General features: G+C 40.4%; 3 annotated features.

Moving 5' to 3' along the window:
* Positions 11,164 to 11,947: an enhancer, noted in NCBI's record as "OCT4-NANOG-H3K27ac hESC enhancer chr10:91840789-91841572 (GRCh37/hg19 assembly coordinates)". NCBI's record gives its function as "activates a minimal SCP1, AML or CMV promoter by ChIP-STARR-seq in naive H9 embryonic stem cells {active_cell/tissue: H9 hESC(naive)}" and the evidence as "EXISTENCE:reporter gene assay evidence [ECO:0000049][PMID:30033119]".
* Positions 16,464 to 17,143: an enhancer, noted in NCBI's record as "OCT4-NANOG-H3K27ac hESC enhancer chr10:91846089-91846768 (GRCh37/hg19 assembly coordinates)". NCBI's record gives its function as "activates a minimal SCP1, AML or CMV promoter by ChIP-STARR-seq in naive H9 embryonic stem cells {active_cell/tissue: H9 hESC(naive)}" and the evidence as "EXISTENCE:reporter gene assay evidence [ECO:0000049][PMID:30033119]".
* Positions 17,524 to 17,613: a silencer, noted in NCBI's record as "silent region_2599". NCBI's record gives its function as "represses an Ori minimal core promoter by ATAC-STARR-seq in GM12878 lymphoblastoid cells {active_cell/tissue: GM12878}" and the evidence as "EXISTENCE:reporter gene assay evidence [ECO:0000049][PMID:35858748]".

A 20,483-nucleotide genomic window follows, 5' to 3' on the forward strand; every position in this document is an offset into this window, starting at 1 on the left:
TGATCCCATTTGTCCATTTTGCTTTGTGGGGTATTACTCAAGAAATCTTTGCCAAGACCAATGTCCTAGAGACTCTCTTCAATTTTTTTTAGTAGTTTTGTAGTTTGAGGTCCTATATTTAAGTCTTTAATCCATTTTGATTTGATTTTTGCATATAGTGAGAGATGGGGGTCAAGTTTCATTCTTTTGTATATGGATACCCAGTTTTCCCAGCATCATTAACTGCAGAGACTGTCCTTTCCACAATACATATTCATGGCAACTTTGTCAAAAATGAGCTCACTGTAGATGTGTGGATTTATTTTTGTGTTCTGTATCCTGTTCCATTGGTCTGTGTGTTTTTTATGCCAGTACTACGCTGTTTTGTTTACTCTAGCTTTGTAGTATAATTTGAAATTAAGTAACGTGATCCCTCCAGTTTTGTTCTTTTTGCTCAGGATGGCTTTGGCCATTCTAGGTATTTTGTGGCTCTGTATAAATTTTAGGGTTATTTTTTCTATTTCTATAAGGAATGCCATTGTTATTTTGATAGGGATTGCACTGAATCTGTAGATTCCTTTGGGTAGTATGGGCATTTTAACAATATTGATTCTTCCAATCCATGAACATAGAATAACTCAACTTTTTTGTGTCCTCTTTAATTTCTTGCATCAGTGTCTTATAGTTTTCATTGTAAAGATTGTTAACTTCTTTGGTTAATTCCTAAATGTTTTATTTCATTTGTAGCTATTGTAAATAGACTTTCTTTTTTTTTTTTTTTTTCAGATTGTTCACTGTTGGCATATAGAAATGTTAACTTATTTTTAATGTTGATTTTTCATCCTGCAACTTTACTGAATTTGTTTATCAGTTCTAATAGTTTTTTGATGGTCTTTAGGCTTTTCCAAATATAAGATTATATCATTTGCAGGCAAAGATAATTTGACTTTTTCCTTTCTAGTTTGGATGCTCTTTATTTCTTTCTCTTGTCTGATTGTTCTAACTAGGACTTCTAGTACTGTGTTGAATAACAGTGGTGAAAGTAAGTATTCTTGTCTTGTTCCAGATCTTAGAGGAAAGGCTTTCAGTTTTTCCCCCTTCAGTATGATACCAGCTGTGTGTCTTTTTTATTATGCTGAGGTAGGTTCCTTCTATACCCAGGTTTTCTTTTCTTCTTCTTCTTTTTTTTTTTTTTTTTTTTTTTTTTTTTAAGACAGAGTTTCGCTCTTGTCATTCAGGCTGGAGTGCAGCTGGTGCGAGCTCCACTCACTGCAACCTCTGCCTTCTGGGTGGAAGCGATTCTCCTATCTCAGCCTCCCAAGTTGCTGGGATTACAGGTGTGCACCACCATGCCTGTCTAATTTTTGTATTTTTAGTAGAAACGAGAGTTTCACCATGTGGCCAGGCTGATCTCGAACTCCTGACCTTAGGTGATCTGCCCACCTCGGCCTCTCAAAGTGCTGGGATTACAGGTGTAAGCCACCATGTCTGACCCATTCCCAGGTTTTTGAGGGTTTTTTATCATGAAGGCATGTTAAATTTTATCAAATGCTTTTTCAGGATTTTTTTTTTTTTTTTTTGAGACAGAGTCTCACCTTGTCCCCCAGGTTGGAGCACAGTAGAATGATCTCGGCTCACTGCAACCTCCACCATCCAGGTTCAAGTGATTTTTCTGCCTCAGCCTCCAGAGTAGCTGGGATTACAGGCACCCTCCAGCACCTTCCACCATACCCAGCTAATTTTTTTTTTGTATTTTTAGTAGAGATGGGGTTTCACCATGTCAGCCAGGTTGGTCTCAAACTCCTGAGTTCAAGTGATCCACCCACCTTGGCTTCCCAAAGTGCTGGGATTATAGGCATGAGCCACTGTGCCTGGCCCATTTTTCAGCATTAATTGACATGCTCATATGGTTTTTGTCCTTCATTCTGCTGATATGATGCATCACATTGATTGATTTGTGTATGTTGAACCATTCTTGCATCCTTGGGATAAATCCCATTTAGTCATAATGAATGACCTTTTTAATGTTTTGTTTAATTACGGTTGCTAGTATTTTGTTGGGGATTTTTGCGTCAATATTCATCAGAGTTATTGGCTGGTAGTTTTCTTTTTTTGACGTGTCTTTGGTTTTGGTATCAGGATAATGCTGGTCTCAGAATGAGTTTTGAAGTATTTCTTTGTTTTTTATTTTTTGAAATGGTTTCCCTAGGATTGGTATTACTTCTTTAAATATTTGGTAGAATACAGTAGTGATGCCATCAGGTCCCAAGCTTTTTTGCAGGGTGACTTTTTTTTTTTTTTTTTGAGATGGGGTCTTTGCTCTGTCGCCAAGCTGGAGTGCAGTGGCACGATCTCGTTTCACTACAACCTCCGCCTTGCAGGGAGGGCTTTTATTATGGTTTCAACATTATTGTTTTCAGTCTGTTTAGGTTTTGGATTTCTTCATATGTGTCCGGGAGTTCATTCATTTCCTCTAGGTTTCCAATGTATTGGCCTATAGTTGCTCATAGTAGTCTCTAATGATCTTTTGAATTTCTGTGGTATCTGTTGTAATGTCTATTTTTTCATCTTTGATTTTATTTATTTGGATCTTCTTTCTTTTTTTCTTAGTTTGGCTAAAGTTTTGTAAAGTTTGTTTGTCTCTTCAAAAATAATGCTTTTTTTGTTTTGTTGATCTTTTTATTGTTTTTGTTTAAATTTCATTTATTTCAGCTCTGAGTTTTGTTATTTCTTTACTTCTACTTAATTTTGGGTTTGATTTGCACTTGCTTTTTTAGTTCTTTAAAATGTATAGTTAACTTGTTTATTTTAAGTTTTTCCTACCTTTTTGGTGTAGGTGCTTATTGTTATAAACTTTCATCTTAATACGGCCTTCACGGTATCCCATAGGTTTTGGTATAGTTGTGTTTCTGTATTTCTTCATTTCTAAAAATTTTTAGATTTCCTTCTTATTTTTTTCAATGACTAACTGGTCATTCAGGAGCATGTTATTTAATATTCATGTGTTTGTATACTTTCCAAAATTCCTCTTGTTATTGATTTCTAATTTGATTCCACTGTGGTCAGAGAAGATACTTGATACTATTTCAACTTTTTGTCGTGTCTTGTTTTGTGGCTTAAAATATGGTCTATCCTTGACAATGATCCATGTGCTGAGGAGAAGAATGTGTATTGTGAAGCTATTGGATGAAATGTTCTGTAAATATCTATTAGGTCCATTTGGTCTATAGCACAGATTAAGCCAAATGTTTCTTTGTTGATTTTCTCTCTGGATGATTGGTCTAAAGCTGAAAGTGGGGTGTTGAAGTCTGTAGCTATTATTCTATTAGAGATTATCTCTCTCTTTAATTCTAATAATATTTGCTTTATATATCTGGATGTTCCAGTGTTGGGTGCACTCAGATATATAAAGCAAATATTATTAGAGTTTATAATTTTTATAATTTATATATGTTTACAATTATCATATCCTTTTGTTGAATTGGCCCAGTTATCATTATATTCTGACTTTTTGTCTCCTTTTATAGTTTTTGTCTTGACATCTATTTTGTCTAATGTAAGTGTAGCTACTCCTGCTCTTTTTTGGGTTTCCATTAGCATAGAATGTCTTTTTCCACTTCTTTATTTTCAGTCTATGTGTGTCTTTATAGGTGAAATGTGTTTCTTACAGGCAATAAATTGTTGGGTCTTTTTTATTTTTCATTCAGCCACACTATGAATTTTTATTGGAGAGTCAGTCCATCTATATCCAACGTTATGATAAGTGAGGACCTACTTCTGACATTTTGTTTTTCTTTTTTTAGTTTTTTGTGGTCTTCTCTTGTTTCCTTCCTTCCTGTCTTCCGTTTATGAAGGTGATTTTCTTTGCTGGTATGTTTTAATTTCTTCCTTTTTATTTTTTTGTGTAACTCTTGTATGTTTCTTGATTTGAGATTACTATGAGGCTTACAAATAATATCATATAGTCTGTTATTTTAATCTGATGACAACACAACACTGAATACACAAACTAATAAACAAGCAAAGAGAAAACTAATGAAAACCCTACCTTCTTCACCCCACTTTTCAATTCTTTGTTGTTTCTATTTTTGTCTTTATACTATGTCTTGAAAAATAATGTAGTTATTATTTTTGATAGGTCCATCTTTTATTCTTTCTACTCATGATATAAGTTGTATACACACCCCAGCAACACTGTTAAAATATTCTGTGCTTTTCTGTGTACTTAGTGAATTTTGTACCTTCAGATGATTTTCTATTGCTTGTTAATGTCTTTTTATTTCAGATTGAAGAACTCCCTTTAGCATTTCTTGTAGGACAGATCTGGTGTTGATGAAATGCCTCAGCTTTTGTTTCCCTGGGAAAGTCTTTATTTCTCCTTCATGTTTGAAGTATATTTTCACTTATATACTTTTCTAGGATGAAAGTTGTTCCCCCCTCCACCCCCAGCACTTTAAATATGTCATGCCACTCTCTCATGGCCTGTGAGGTTTCCACTAAAAATTCTGCTGCCAGATGTATTGGAGCTCCATTGTATGTTATTTGCTTATTTTCTCTTGCTGTTTTTAAGACCCTTTCTTTATCCTTGACATTTGGGTCAAGGATTATTAAATGTCTTGAGATAGTCTTATTTGGGTTAAATCTGCTTGGCATTTTATTACCTTCTTGTACTTGGATATTGATATCTTTCTGTAGGTTTGGAAAATTCTCTGTTCTTATCCATTTAAATAAACTTTCCATCCCAATCTTTCTCTCTCTCTACCTCCTCTTTAAAGCCAATAACTCTTAGATTTGCCATTTTGGGGCTATTTTCTACATCTCGTGGATGTGCTTTATTCTTTCTTATTCTTTTGTCTTCTCTGACTGAATTTTCAAATAGCCTGTCTTCAAGCTCATTAACTATTTCTTCTGCTTGATCAACTGTACTGTAAAGAGAGTCTGGTGCATTCTTCAGTATGTCAATTGCATTTTTCAGCTCTAGAATTTCTGCTTGATTTAAAAAAATTTCAATATCTTTGTTAAATATATCTGATAGAAGTTTGAATTTCTTTTCTGCGCTATCTTTAATTTCATTGAGTTTTCTCAAAACAGCTCTTTTTAATTCTCTATCTGAAAGGTCACATATCTCTGTCTCTCCAGGATTGGTCACTAATGCCTCATTTAGTTTGTTTTGTGAGGTCATGTTTTCCTGAATAGTCTTGAGCTTATGAATGTTCATTTGTGTCTGGGCATTAAAGAGCTAGATATTTATTGTAGTCTTTGCAGTCTGTGCTTGTTTGTGCTTGTTCTTCTTGGGAAGGCTTTCCATATATTCAAAGAAACTTGGTTGTTGTAATCTAAGTCTTTGGTCACTATAGCCATCTCTATGTTAGGGGGCATCCTAAGCCCAGTAATTCTGTGGCTCTGGAAGACTCATAGAGGTATATCTTGGTGGTCTTGGGTAAGATCCAGGAGAATTCCCTGGCTCACCGGGAAGAGACTCTTGTTATCTTCCTTTACTTTTTCCCAAGCAAATGGAATCTTTCTCTCTGTACTGAGCTGCCTGAGGTTGGAAGAAGGATGACACAGGCACTCTTGTGATCAACTCCACTGGGACCATGCTGGGTCAGACCTGCAGCCAGAATTTGGTCTTGCCCAAGGCTCACAGTGACCACTGATGACTACTACCTATATTCATTGAAGGCCCATGTTCTCTATAATTAGCAGGTGGCAAATCCAGCCAGGCTTATGTCCTTCCCTTCAGGGTGGTGAGTTCAGCCACAGGTTGGTCCAGAGATGCCTTTTGGGAGGCTGGGCCTAGAGTCGAGAACCTTAGGAAGTCTACCTTGTGCTCTATTTTACTGTGGCTGAGCTGGCATCCTAGCCAAGAGAGAAAGTCCTTCTCACTCTTCCCCCTCCTTTCCTCAAGCAGAGGATTTTCTCTCCATGGCAACCATCACCCCAGGCCCGCAGCAAGTGCTGCCTGGCTACTGCTGATGTTCACTCATGGCCCAAGAGCTCTTCCGTCAGGTTGTGGTAAATGCTTCAGGCCTGGGACTACTCCTTCAGGGCAGTGGGCTTCCTTCTGGTCCAGGGCAGATCCAGAAATGCCATTCAGGAACCAAGGCCTGGGATTAGGGGCTTCAGGAGCCTGCTTGGTGCTTTACTCTGCTGAGGCCAAGCTGGTGCCTGAACTTCAAGACAAAGTCCCCTTTACCTTTCCTTCTCCTTTTTCCTCAAGCAGAAGGAGTCTCTCCCCACAGCCACCACAGCTGGGAATGTGCTGGGTCACACCTGAAGCCAGCATGTCTTAGAATCTCACCCAAGGCCTGTGGCAAATACTGCCTGGCTACAGCTTCTGATGATTCAGGGCCCAAGGACTGTTTAGTCAATAGGTGACGAATCCTTCCAGGAGTAGGTTCTTCCCTTCAAGACAGCAGGTTTTCTTCTGGACCAGAGTATGTCTAGGAATGTTGCCTTGGAAATAGAACCTGGAATGGGGGCTTCGGAACTCTACTAGATGCCCTATTGTACTGTAGCTAAGCTGATATCTAAGTTTTAAGGCAAAGGTCTCTTTACTCTCCCTTCTCCTCTCTTGAAGGAGTACAGGAGAAAGAAGGAGTCTCTCCTGGAGCTGTGAGCTTCACTATCTGTGGGTGGTGGAGAGGTGGTGCAAGCAGTCCCTTGGCTGCCCTGGCTGGTGTCTCACTAGGCCACTCACATTCCAAGTCCAGGTGTGCTGGCTTCGAGCTTAGCACAGCACTGATGCTTGCCCAGGGACTGCAGTCCTTGTGTCATAGATTGCTTTTCAAGTTTATTTAGTATCCCAAGCACTTTAGTTCACAGTGGTGAGCTTGCTGAAACTCAAGTTCCAACCACTGGGGTGGGCAATTCCCCTCTGGCTGGGACTCATCTAGATGCTTTGTGAATGCCGACTGAGTTCTGCCCTATGTTGCTTTCCACTGTGACAGAGCAGCATTGAGTTCCAATGTGAAGTCTCACAATAAGTGCACTCTCCTTGCCCCAAATGCACAGATTCTCTCACCATGCTAAGTGGCCACTGCTGCTTCAAGCTTGTCTTTTCTACCCTCTTCAGTGCCTCTTTCCTTAATATGATGTTAAAAGCAGGTACTGTGATCACTCACCTGATCATAGGTTCTTATGAAGTTGATTTTCTTCATAGTTGTTCAATTTGGTGTTCCTGTTCGGGGGATGATTGCTGTGGGCTTCTATTCAGTCACTTTGTTCTGCCTACCCTTCATCATTCATTAATTTAACACAAGGTAAATATGCATCTACTATGTCCCAGGGACTCTTCTAAGTTTTGGGGAAGTTAACAGTGCATATAGAAACAAAATAACTGCTCTCAAAAAGTTTACATTATTGGAGGGAAATAGAGAATAAAAACATATGGTATAAACAGGTCACTGGTTTTGAAACATTATTGTTTATCAGAGGAACCCTGATCTTAGGCAAAAATTTCCTAGAATACCAATATATAAAACAGCAAAAAGAATACTTTCTGGTAGATGCAACATTCAGAGGTCACTCATGTTGCAATCCTCTTCTGCCTTTCTCTCCTACAGCAGTCTGGTAGACACTTCTAGAAAGGTTTGAAAACTACCAATTTAGAATACCCATTGTTGTGGAAATATAATTAAAAAAAAAATCTTCTTCCAACCCACACTACCTCTCCACAAAATAGTAGAGAAAGTAAAAGTAAATAGTTTTATTATTAATAAGTAAAAGACCAGAATGTAATCTGGCAACATGGGCAATTCATCCAGAGATGGCAGACTGAATGAAAGCTCACGTTTAAAAAAAGCCAAATAGGGCTGGGCGCGGTGGCTCACACCTGTAATCACAGCACTTTGGGAGGCCGAGGCATGTGGATCATGAGGTCAAGAGATCGAGACCATCCTGGCCAACATGGTGAAACCCTGTCTCTACTAAAAACACAAAAAATTAGCTGGGCGTGGTGGCATGCACCCGTAGTCCCAGCTACTCGGGAGGCTGAGGCAGAAGAATCGCTTGAACCCAGGAGACAGAGGTTGGAGCGAGCCGATATCATGCTTCGCATTCCAACCTGGTGACAAAGTGAGACTCCATCTCAAAAAAAAAAAAAAAAAAAAAAAAAAGAGCCAAACAGATACAACCCATTACAGACATGCTTTCACAATAAACAATACTGTGTTCTCAAGTAAAAGAACTTGAGTGCACCATTTGTCACACATAGTTCGTCTTAAATTCACCTGGTAATTGGGGTGACCATCTGTGGTAGCTAATTGGCTTTCTTTAGAGGAAAAACAAATTCCTTTATCTTTATTGCCAGAGGTAGTTTTAATACTTGGAGCAAGGGGCTACTGAAGTTAGGCCCCTACACTCTCACAGAAACTGGGAGTTAGGGGTTCTATTTCCTTTGATTTCAAAGGGATGGCTTTCAGGTGATAAAGCTGACAAAGGAACTTGCAACTACATGTTTTCTGAAGAAAATTTAAAAAAAGGAAAGTGGAAGAACTCTATTTCCTTATTTTCAACTGGGAGAATTAAGCTTCTTATTTTTAATTTGTATTTATTCATAAGCCATTCAGATATAAGGCAGCTGATTCTGGAAATAAATACAAAAACAAAACAAAACCATGTTATCCTAATTAGAATGTGTGACTTGATAATTTTGGAGAGATAGGCTTGCTGAAAATACCCTCATGATTTCAGTTTACATCCATGAGAGTAAACTAGATTTTTCTGACCCCAGAGTCAGTCTATGATAAGCCTGATTTAAATCTTTGGCTAAAAGTTTTCAAAAGCATTACCCAAAGAGTGAAACCTCTTCTTTCTCTGGCTCTGAAGGACTCAAGCTTTAGGCTGATAGGCAAGTGCTTAGAAGTGTTACCATATCCCATGGAACTAAAATAGTCCAAAAATGGTGAAGTCAACTTAGAATCATAGACTGTTGAAGCTCAAATTTCCCTGGAAGTTATACAGTTCGATATTCACTTAAAGGCACACTGATACCCAGGCAAGGTAAATTAATGTCTAGAATAGACTGGTAGATTATTCCCTGTCCTAGAGAGAAGCTCTGTGCCCATATACCCAGTCTGTTTTCTCTACTGACTGTGGAATCTAGGAAAAGGCACAGTAATGTCATGCCAGACCGGGTGCACTTGGAATTCAGGTTTCTCTCAGCTGTGCATTAACTGCTTCCTTGCCTACCATTAAATAAAGCAAGCACAATGAAGAAATTTTGCTTCATTGTCATGCTTACAAAATATAGTGACATCAAAGAAGAGATTAAGTCTGAATTTCAAAGGGCTAACAAAAAGAGAATTGAAATGAAACTAGAGAAATAAACCTCTATAGAAATAAAAACCTGGAAATGCCTGAGAAACATTATTGATCTATCACTTTTTTTTTTTAAGAAAGGGTTTCTCTCTGTCACTCAGGCTGGAGTGCAGTGGTGCAATCATGGCTCACTGCAGCTTTGGTCTCCCGGGCTCAAGAGATCCTCCCACCTCAGCCTCCTGAGTAGCTGGGACTGCAGTCATGAACTACTATGCCTGGTTAATTTAAAAAAATGTAGTAGACACAAAGTGTCATTATGTTGCCCAGGCTGGTCTCCACCACTCTTGTTTTACAGGTGGGAAAATGAATGGAGAGAGAACTATTTCTCCCTGCCCCTGTGAGGGATAGTACCTGAATTGTATTTGTTTTCTTTTTGGTTCAGCTGTCCACTTTCAGGTGAAGTTGAGCATGGATGATATGATGTTTGTGAGCCTGATCATGTTGTACCCCTATTATATGCTATGCCACTGCAGCGATCAAGCTTGTCTAAAACCACCCCTGCCTTCATACCACTCAAGGAGAAGACAAATATAGTTGGTTATTGGAAGAACCAACAGGATTTTACAGGATAAGTAGACATTTCATAGAGCTCTTGAAACCTGAAAATGATTGACATTGCTGTGTGAAAGGAAAATATCTTGGGCCCCCAAAATCACTAAGTTAAAGGGAAAATTCAAGCTGGAAACTGCTTAGGGTAAACCTGCCTCCCATTCTATTAAAAGTCATCCTTCTGCTCACTGAGATAAATGCATGTCTAATTGCCTCCTTTGAAAGGCTAATCAGAAACTCAGAAGAATGCAACCATTTGTCTCTCACCAACCTGTGACCTGGACCCTCCCCGCTTTGAGTTGTCCCACTTTTGTTTTGAGTTGTCCCGCCTTTCCAGACTGAACCATTGTTATATATGTTGATTGATGTCTCCTGTCTCCCTAAAATGTATAAAACCAAGCTGTGCTCTGACTACTTTGAGCACATGTTGTCAGGACCTCCTGAGGCTGTGTCACAGGCATGCATCCTCAACTTTGGCAAAATAAACTTTCTAAATTAACTGAGACCTGTCTCAAATTTTGGGGGTTCACATTTGGTAACCATGGAGGGATTCTGAGTGGAGATGCCCCTGACTTCTGACAAATCTCCTATCGGTTCTTCGTACCAGCATGAGCTAACTTTATAGCTCAAACCAATAGGACAATTTGCTGAGGTCAGGGAGCAACCCTTCCAGAGAATCCCTGATCTCCAAAAATTTGGTCAAGATCTAAAGTTTATTTTGCTGTATACTCCTTTTGTTTTTCTTGCTTCCAACAAGGAAGGCAAGATTTCCTGTTTCCAAGACAATGGAAAGCAGGTAACTCCTTTATGGAGTTTGAGCTCGCTCCCAGCTGGGAAGACGAGTTGGAGTATTTTTCCTGCTTCTACAATGGTAGAAAGCAGTCTTCAGCCTAAGATCCATCTCTGGGTAAGTAGCTGAATTGTGGTTTTGTCTTGGCTAAAGTTCAACAACCAGCTTATCATTGGAGCACTCAGTGATCATATTGTTGGGCTTTGTTGTTGTTGTTTGTTCCAGTCTTTCTCCCATCAGATTTCATCAACTCTATCTGACTTGGACAAATCCAAGTGAGAATTGCAAATGATGGGTAACAAGCCCTCTCTAATTTGGCTAAAATTCCTCATAGCTGCAAAATTAAACAAAGAGAGAAAACAAGAAAACCATGTGTTTGGTTTCTGTGTTCGCTTCCTTTCTTTAAAAAAAAAAAAATTGTTCTTTTGTTTACTTTTCTTCCACCCTATACCTCCTTCCCCCTTTGCCATCTGAAGTATCAAAAATTCTAGAGAAAGCTTCTAATGACTTTCATACACGTCCGTGTGAAGAGGTCACTAAACAGGCTTTGTGTGAGCAACATGGCTGTTTATTTCACCTGGGTGCAGGCAGGCTGAGTCCAAAAAGAGAGTCAGTGAAGGGAGATAAGGGTGGGGCCGTTTTATAGGATTTGGGTAGGTAAAGGAAAATTACAGTTAAAGGGGGTTTGTTCTCTGGCAGGCAGGAGTGGGGGGTCGCAAGGTGCTCAGTGGGGGTGCTTTTTGAGCCAGGATGAGCCAGGAAAAGGACTTTCACAAGGTAATGTCATCAGTTAAGGCAAGGACCGGCCATTTACACTTCTTTTGTGGTGGACTGTCATCAGTTAATGTGGGGCAGGGCATATTCACTTCTTTTGTGATTCTTCAGTTACTTCAGGCCATCTGGGCATACATGTGCAAGTCACAGGGGATGCGATGGCTTGGCTTGGGCTCAGAGGCCTGACATTCCTGCCTTCTTATATTAATAAGAAAAATAAAACAAAATAGTGTTGAAGTGTTGGGGCGGTGAAAATTTTTGGGGGGTGGTATGGAGAGAGAATGGGCGGTGTTTCTCAGGGCTGCTTCAAGCGGGATTAGGGGCGGTGTGGGAACCTAGAGTGGGAGAGATTAAGCTGAAAGGAGGTCTTGTGGTAAGGGGTGATATTGTGGGGATGTTAGAAGAAACGTTTGTTGTATAGAATGATTGGTGATGGCCTAGATACGGTTTTGGATGAATTAAGAAACTAAATGGAATAACAGAAGGAGAAAAACAGGTATAAAAGGTCTAAGAATTGGGACGACTCAGGATATCTGATTAGAGAGTGCCTAAGGTGATTCAGCATATTCCTGCCAGCAAAGATTATTTATTTACTTCAAGAGTTAAGAGTGGCAGTTTGGGGATAGCACCAGGAGATATCAGCTGTGATGGCTTGGAGAAGCAGTGTAAACCGGCAGTGTAAACAAGAGCAGGGCATGTATGAGTAGTTGAGAACGGTGAATAGGAGTATGACTAGACAGAAGATAGTAGGGATGACAAGTTTTTTGGGGCACAGTCTAAGTTGGTCTGGTGTCTGGAATGAGACTGGGGCCTAATAAAAAGGAGCGTCTATACAGGAGCTTAAATGGGCTGTACCCTGTAGCATTCCGAGGACAGGCCTGAATTCTGAGAAGGGAAATTGGTAAAAGTATTGTCCAGTCCTTTTTAAGTTGGTGGCTGAGCTTGGTGAGGTGTGTTTTTAAAAGACCTTTAGTCCATTCTACTTTTCTTGAAGTCAGAGAACCATAAGAGATATAAAGGTTTCACTGAATACTAAGAGCCTGAAAAACTGCTTGGCTGATTTGACTAATAAAGGCTCGTTTGTTATCAGACTGTATTGAGGTGGGAAGGCTAAACTGAGGAATTATGTCTGACAGAACAGAAGAAATGACTGCGGTGGCCTTCTCAGACCCTGTAGGAAAGGCCTCTACCTATCCAGTGAAAGTATCTACCTAGACTAAGAGGTATTTTAGTTATCTGACTCAGGGCATGTTGAGTAAAGCTAATTTGCCAGTCCTGGGTGGGGGCAAATCCTGGAGCTTCATGTGTAGGGAAGGGAGGGGGCCTGAATAATCCCCGAGGAGTAGTAGAATAGCAGATGGAACACCGAGAAGTTATTTCCTTGAGGATAGATTTCCACGATGGAAAGGAAATGAGGGGTTCTAAGAGGCGGGCTAGTGGCTAGTACTATAGTATAACCTGCCTTTGCTGGTGTGTGGCGATTAGGCCTGGTAGAACTGCCATCAATAAATCAAGCGTGATCAGGGTGAGGAACAGGAAAGAAGGATATTTGGGGAAATGAGGTGAATGTCAGGTGGATCAGAGAGATACAGTCATGGGGGTCAGGTGTGGTATCAGGAATAATGTGGGAGGCCGGATTGAAGTCTGGGCCAGGAACAACGGTAATTTTAGGAGACTCAACAAAGAGTGAGTACAGCTGAAGGAGCCGGGGAGCAGAAAGTATATGCATCAGGTATGAGGAAGAAAATAGATTTTGGAAGTCACGAGAACTGTAGAGAGTGAGTTGAGTATAGTTTGTGATTTTGAGGGCCTCTAAAAGTATCAAAGCAGCGGCAGACGCTGCATGCAGACATGAGGGCTAGGCTAAAACAGTAAGGTCAAGTTGTTTGGACAGAAAGGCTACAGGGTGTGGTCCTGGCTCTTGTGTAAGAATTCTGACTGTGCTAACCATGCCTAGGAAGGAAAGGAGTTGTTGTTTTGTAGAAGGTGCTTGGGTTTGAGAGATCATTCAGACATGATTGGCAGGGAGAGCACTTGTGTTTTTATGAGAATTATGCCGAGATAGGTAACAGATGAGGAAGAAATCTGGGCTTGATTGAAGTAATGGGGGCTGTCTGTGAAGCTTTGCGGCAGAACAGCCTAGGTAATTTGCTGAGCTTGATGGGTGTCAGGGTCAGTCTAAGTGAAAGCAAAGAGAGGCTGGGACAAGAGGTGCAGGGGAATAGTGAAAAAAGCATCTTTAAGGTCAAGCACAGAATAGTGAATTGTGGAGGAAGGTATTGAGGACAAAAGAGTGTATGGGTTGGCACCACGGGGTGGATAGGCAAAACAATTTGGTTGATAAGGTGCAGATCCTGAACTAACTTGTAAGGCTTGTCTGGTTTTAGGACAGGTAAAATGGGGGAATTGTAAGGAGAGTTTATAGGCTTTAAAAGGCCATGCTGTAGCAGACGAGTGATAACAGGCTTTAATCTTTTTAAAGCGTGCTGCGGGATGGGATATTGGCGTTCAGTGGGGTAAGGGTGATTAGGTTTTAATGAGATGGTAATGGGTACATGATCAGTCACCAAGGAGGGCGTAGAGGTATCTTATACTTGTGGGTTAAGGTGGGAGGATACAAGAGGAGGATGCAAAGGAGGCTTTCGATTGGGAAGAAGGGCGGCAATGAGATATAGCTGTAGTCCAGGAATAGTCAGGGAAGCAGGTAATTTAGTTAAAGTGTCTCAGCCTAATAAGGGAACTGGGCAGGTGGGGATAACTAAAAAGGAGTGCTTAAAAGAGTATTGTCTAAGTTAGCACCAGAGTTGGGGAGTTTTAAGAGGTTTAGAAGCCTGGCCGTCAATACCCACAACAGTTATGGAGGCAAGGGAAACAGGCCCTTGAAAAGAAGGTAATGCGGAGTGTGTAGCCTCTGTATTGATTAAGAAGGGGACGGGCTTACCTTCCACTGTGAGAGTTACCCGAAGCTCGGCATCCGTGATGCTCTAGGGGGCTTCCAAGGCAATCGGGCAGTTTCAGTCTTCAGCCGCTAAGCCGAGAAGATCTGGGAAGGAGTCAGTCAGAGAGCCTTGGGCCAGAGTTCCAGGGGCTCTGGGAGTGGCTGCCAGGTGAGTTGAACAGTCCGACTTTCAGTGGGGTCTTACACAGATGGGACGCGGCTTAGGAGGAATCCTGGGCTGCGGGCATTCCTTGGCCCAGTGGCCAGATTTCTGGCACATGTAGCAAGCTCCTGTGGGAGGAGGTTCTGGAGGAACGCCTGGCCGCTGCGGTTCAGGCGTTTGGAAGTTCTTGTGTGCTGGAGATGTGGCTGGGGTTTGTCTCACAGTGGAGGCAAGGAATTGCAACTTTTTTCTGTTATTGTACACCTTGAAGGTGAGGTTAATTAAGTCCTGTTGTGGGGTTTGAGGGCCAGATTCCAATTTTTGGAGTTTTATTTAATGTCGGGAGCAGATTGAGTAATAAAATGTATAGTGAGAATAAGACGGCCTTTTGACCTTTTAGGGTCTAGGGCTGTAAAGCATCTCAGGGTTGCTGCCAAACGAGCCATGAACTGGGCTGGATTTTTATATTTGATGAAAAAGAGCCTAAACGCTTCTGATATGGGATAAAGAAAAAGGAGCATTAACCTTGACTATGCCTTTGGCTCCAGCCACCTTTTTAAGAGTAAATTGCTGGGCAGGTTGGGGAGGGCTAGTCACGGAACGAAACTGTAAGCCAGAGCAGGTGTGAGGAGGGGAGGTGATAAAAAGATTATAGGGTGGAGGAGCAGAGGCTGAGGAAGAATTGGGACCTAGCTCGGCCTGGCGAGGAGCAGCCTGGGGAGGAAGGGAGAGGTCAGATGGGTGTGTAGAAAAGGAAGATTAGAAAGACTCATCGATGCTTGGGGTTGGTACTGAGGGGACAGGCGGGAGGGAAAGAAGGAAGATTTGGGACGAGTTGCACTGGGCACAGAGACTAGGAAGGGACTGATGTGTAAAAGAATGCCTGGACGTCAGGCACCTCAGACCGTTTGCCTATTTTATGACAAGAATTATTTAGATCTTGCAGGATGGAAAAATTCAAAGTGCCATTTTCTGGCTATTTGGAACTACTGTCGAGTTTGTATTGGGGTCAAGCGGCATTGCAGAAGAAAATAAGGCATTTAGGTTTTAGGTCAGGTGTGAGTTGAAGAGGTTTTAAGTTTTTGAGAACACAGGCCAAGGGAGTAGAAGGAGGAATGGAGGGTAGAAGGTTGCCTATAATGAAGGAAGCAAGCCTAGAGAAAAGAGAGAGTAGAGAAACAGAGGGAAGGGGTTCGGAGGTTCTTACCTTCCAGAAAAGTGGGAAAAGGGGTTGGGGTGCAGAGATAAGAGGTTGGGGTGCAAAAATAAGGGATGGGGTGCAGAAATAAGGGGTAGGGGCATGGAAATAAGGGGTCGGGGCACTGAAATAAGGGATTGGGGCACAGAGATACGAGGTTGGGGTACTTGCCCTCCTCTAGAAAAGCGGGACTTGCCGCTAAGAGTGAAGGAGAAGGGGTTGAGGGGTACTTGCCCCTGCCCCAGGAAAGCAGAGAAGGGGTAGAGACAAGGAGAGAAGGGGTTGGGGTACTTGCCCCTTCCCCAGAAAAGCGGGACTTGCTGCTAAGGGTGAAGGACCAAGGCTGGCATCCCTGCGTGGTCTGACACCTTTGAAACGTGGGTGAATAATCAGAGAGGTGTCCCTCCAATGATTAAACACCAAGGGAAGGCTGCCTTCCCAGCCCGTGACCGGCACTGGAGTTTTGGGTGCACAGATAAAACGTATCTCCTTTGTCTCTCCCAGAAAATGAAAGGAATTGAAATTAAGAGAAGGGAGAGATTGACGAGTGGAAAGAAGAAAGTGGTTGAGGGACAGTGAGAGAGGTTGGAGAAGAGAGAAGAGGCCGCTTACCTGATTTAAAATTGGTGAGATATTCCTTGGGCTGGTCGATCTGAGGACCTGAGGTCATAGGTGGATCTTTCTCACAGAGCAAAGAACAGGAGGACAGGGGATTGATCTCCCAAGGGAGGTCCCCTGATCCGAGTCACGGCACCAAATTTCATGCGTGTCCATGTGAAGAGACCACCAAACAGGCTTTGTGTGAGCAACATGGCTGTTTATTTCACCTGGGTGCAGGCAGGCTGAGTCCGAAAAGAGTCAGTGAAGGGAGATAAGGGTGGGGCCGTTTTATAGGATTTGGGTAGGTAAAGGAAAATTACAGTCAAAGGGGGTTTGTTCTCTGGTGGGCCGGAATGGGGGGTGGCAAGGTGCTCAGTGGGGGTGCTTTTTGAGCCAGGATGAGCCAGGAAAAGGACTTTCACAAGGTAATGTCATCAGTTAAGGCAAGGACCGGCCATTTACACTTCTTTTGTGGTGGAATGTCATTAGTTAAGGTGGGGCAGGGCATATTCACTTCTTTTGTGATTCTTCAGTTACTTCAGGCCATCTGGGCATATCCAGATGCAAGTCACAGGGGATGCGATGGCTTGGCTTGGGCTCAGAGGCCTGACAATGACTTGAACCCCTTTAAAGAATTTAGGACAAAGTCACCACTCACCCCCTTTTGGGGTGTTTTGTTTTCTTTGTGGAGTTTCAAGAGTCATGGGCAAATTCTTTTTAGGTCTAAAGCTCTGTTTTCCTATATTGCATGATTTGACCTCTTTGGCTTTTGGAGTGCCAGAGATGACTTTTCACTGTGAGGGAATTTGACCTTGGCATGTATAATGGTGGATGAGAATTAGGATGAGAACAGGAAGTGGTCTTGGCTGTTTTGTTTTTCTTTTCTCTTTTAGGAAGTTGTTGTTTATGGATTCTAATTCTAGTTCAGAGATGCATTCTAAAGGGCCTTCTCTATTGCTTTTTCTTCCAAAATTAATCTTAATTTGATTTGTCTGTGAGCATTTGCATGAGGAACTCAACTGTTGTTTTCATGGGTTAATGAGAGACTGAGTTTTCCCAGTGCTAAAGAAAAAGGGCATTTGCTCCTTCCAGCCAAAAGGTACCCCTGGGTGACCAGGGGTCTTGTGGGAAAGTCTGGGGTGTTGATCCCCTACTACATGCTGTGATCCTGCAGGAAAATCCCCAACAAAAATTGATTTTAGAAAGTGAATCATCCAGGAAACGCATATAAGTTCTGAGACATGTAAGAAGGTGTAAATGACTCAGTGGTGACACACTGTGGAGCCTTGCCCACAAAAAGCACATATCAATCCACCACATGAAAACCATAGGCCATAGCTCAGTTCCTCCTTTTAAGGAAAAAAAAAAAAAAAAAAAAAAAAAAGAAAGAAAAAGAGCAGGAAACAAATAATCAAATAATGAGGAGAAAACAAGGGGAATGACCCCCTTTTGATCACTCTGTAGGTTTTATGGCACCTCTACTTGCCAGAGAAAAATGGAAGTAATATGGTCTTTGTGCACATTTACATTAGGGAAAAAGAGCCTTAAGGTTGACCCACACATTAAGAGTTCCTAGGTTTCCCTTTTCTCTCTTTTCTTTTCTGCCTGCTTTAAATCTGCTGTTACTTTTCTACTGAAATAAAAACCACTGTTTGGACTTAACAGTTTTTTTTTTTTTTTTTTGCAAGCTGACAAATTTGCATTTATCTGATGACTAAAGTACTGAAGTAAAAACAATAGAATCTTTGTGTGTATGTGTGTATGTATATGTGTACGTGTATATATTTGAAGGCCTTTATAAAAGACTTCTATAATTGTATGTTCAATTGGCAATTAAATTTGTTTTAATTTCCCGCTAGCCCACCAGACTTTCTACCTTATGATGCAAATTTTGCTATCTTATTTTTCACCCAGTTGTTTCCTTTAATATGCAAATTTAAGGCTATTAAGCTGACAACTGCCTAGGGTAAGATTTTTAAAAAAGGGAAAAAAAGAGGTCTTTGTGAATCTGTAAGACGCGCTTCTATCAGCATGCCTAATGCATCGGTATATTTATGTGTTGTGTACACAATGTTTCACTACTAAAATTATATAAAAGAGCTCTAATTAATTGGCTTAACAAATAATAAAAGTGCTTAAATCAGATACTAAAGAAAAAAGAGAACTTTTTCAAGTTCACCTGATTTAAGTAAAATCTTTAATAAATAAGCTGACTTTAAATTATTGGTAAAATAATATTAGAAATGTCTTAAGAATTTGCCAACATACTTTTTTTTGCATTTATTAATCACCCAATTTCATACTTATCCCTGCCAAACACTGTAAGGTGTCAAAATTTGGCATAGGGATTACAAAACTATACACCCAACCCAAAACAGAATGATCTTTGCTTGTGTAATCTTTAATAGATAAGACATTGATATTAGTTTAATAAAACTTGTTACATCTTTAATTTAGTAAGATTATCATAATTTTTTTTTTTTTTTGAGATGGAGTCTCAGTCACCCAGGCTGAAGTGCAGTGGTGCAATCTTGGCTCACTGCAACCTCTGCCTCCTGGGTTCAAGTGATTCTTGTGCCTCAGCCACCTGAGTAGCTGGGACTACAGGCACCCACCACCACACCTGGCTAATTTTTGTATTTTTAGTAGAGACAGGGTTTCACCATGTTGGTCAGGCTGGTTTTGAACTCCTGACCTCAAGTGACCCACCCACTTTGGCCTCCCAAAGTGCTGGGATTACAGACATGAGCTACCACTTTCAGCCGATTACTATAACTTTTAATCTTGTAGCTTTAGGCAGTCTAGTCCAAAGGCAATAAGGTTTGCTGTCATCTTTGTTACAAAGCTGAACTGTAAACTAAGTTCCTCCCAAAGTTAGTTCGGCCCGCACCCAGGAATGAACAAGGACAGCTTGGAGGTTAAAAGCAAGATGAAGTCAGCTAGGTCAAATCTTTTTTACTGTCTCAGTTATAATTTTGTAATGGTGGTTTCATAACTTAAAATAATGACTATCATAGTTTTCACAAATAATCTAGGTAAACAAAAGAAAACTGTGTAAATGTAATAGGATAAATACTTGTAGAGAAATTCATCATAATATTTGGGTATTTGCTAATGAAAATATAATTGTAGAAAAACATTCTAAAAAATAAAAAGTTGTGTCCTTTTAAAAATGGTGAACAATCTTTGTCTAATTCAAAGCTTATTTAAAGATCATGTATAAAACAAGGTAAAAGAAACCAGAAAATAAAAAAAAATGTAAAGAAAGTCATAAAAATAAACAGGTTTTTTTTTCTTTTCTTTTTTTTTTTTTTAGTAAGAAAGCTTAAAGATAAATAATTTCATTAAGAAAGAATCTTGTATAGTAAATTTAGTCCTAGAGTAAAATGACTGGCTGTTTTAGAAGGAGGGATGTTTAGGATAAACCAGAAAGTCCAGGCATGAATAGTCTGTGTAAGTCCCAACAAAAGGATTTATATATTTTTTTAAAAAACAAACTTTTATACGATCAAGTTGTCACATTACTATTAAGTTTTAGTTTGCTCAGAAAAAAACTAAGATTAAAAAATTTTTAAATTAAGATGATTACATCTGAGTATCTCTCTGTATGCACTTCTAAAGTACTTGTGACATTGAGTTACAGGGCTTTGACTCCTGGGTGTAAAATGATGCCAGGTTCTGCTAAATTTTAAACACCGAAAGCAATTAAAGCCTCATATTCCGGCCTAGTAGAAGATGCCAATCAAAATAAACTGCATTCCTGAAACACAGGCCAGAAATTAAAGCTATTTAACTCCTCAAGGCCCAGGGACTATCTCAGAAGAGGTGGTTGTGTGAGATTGCAAAGGCCAATTTTGAGAGATAAAATATATTGTTTCTCCATAAATTACTCATTAATGTCAAAGGCACACTGAGGCAAGACCATCATATAGGACCATGCCAGATTAGCAAGGTTTTCCTGAAGCATTAGCTGACTTCTAAATAAAGGTTATAAAGGTTATGAAAGGCTAATGGAAGTTTTATCTTATGGTCAAGATTAAAATTTTATAGACTGTTTATAAAATTTTGAAAAAAAATGTAGTTGGCTTCATGCTGTTTTTATTAAGGCTTATTGTTTGGAAAATTAAGTCTCCTCTCTCAAAGAATGAAAGTTTTTGCCTTTAAAAAAAAA

This window comes from Homo sapiens, chromosome 10 (assembly GCF_000001405.40).
Source record: "Homo sapiens chromosome 10, GRCh38.p14 Primary Assembly".
NCBI classification, from domain to species: domain Eukaryota; kingdom Metazoa; phylum Chordata; class Mammalia; order Primates; family Hominidae; genus Homo; species Homo sapiens.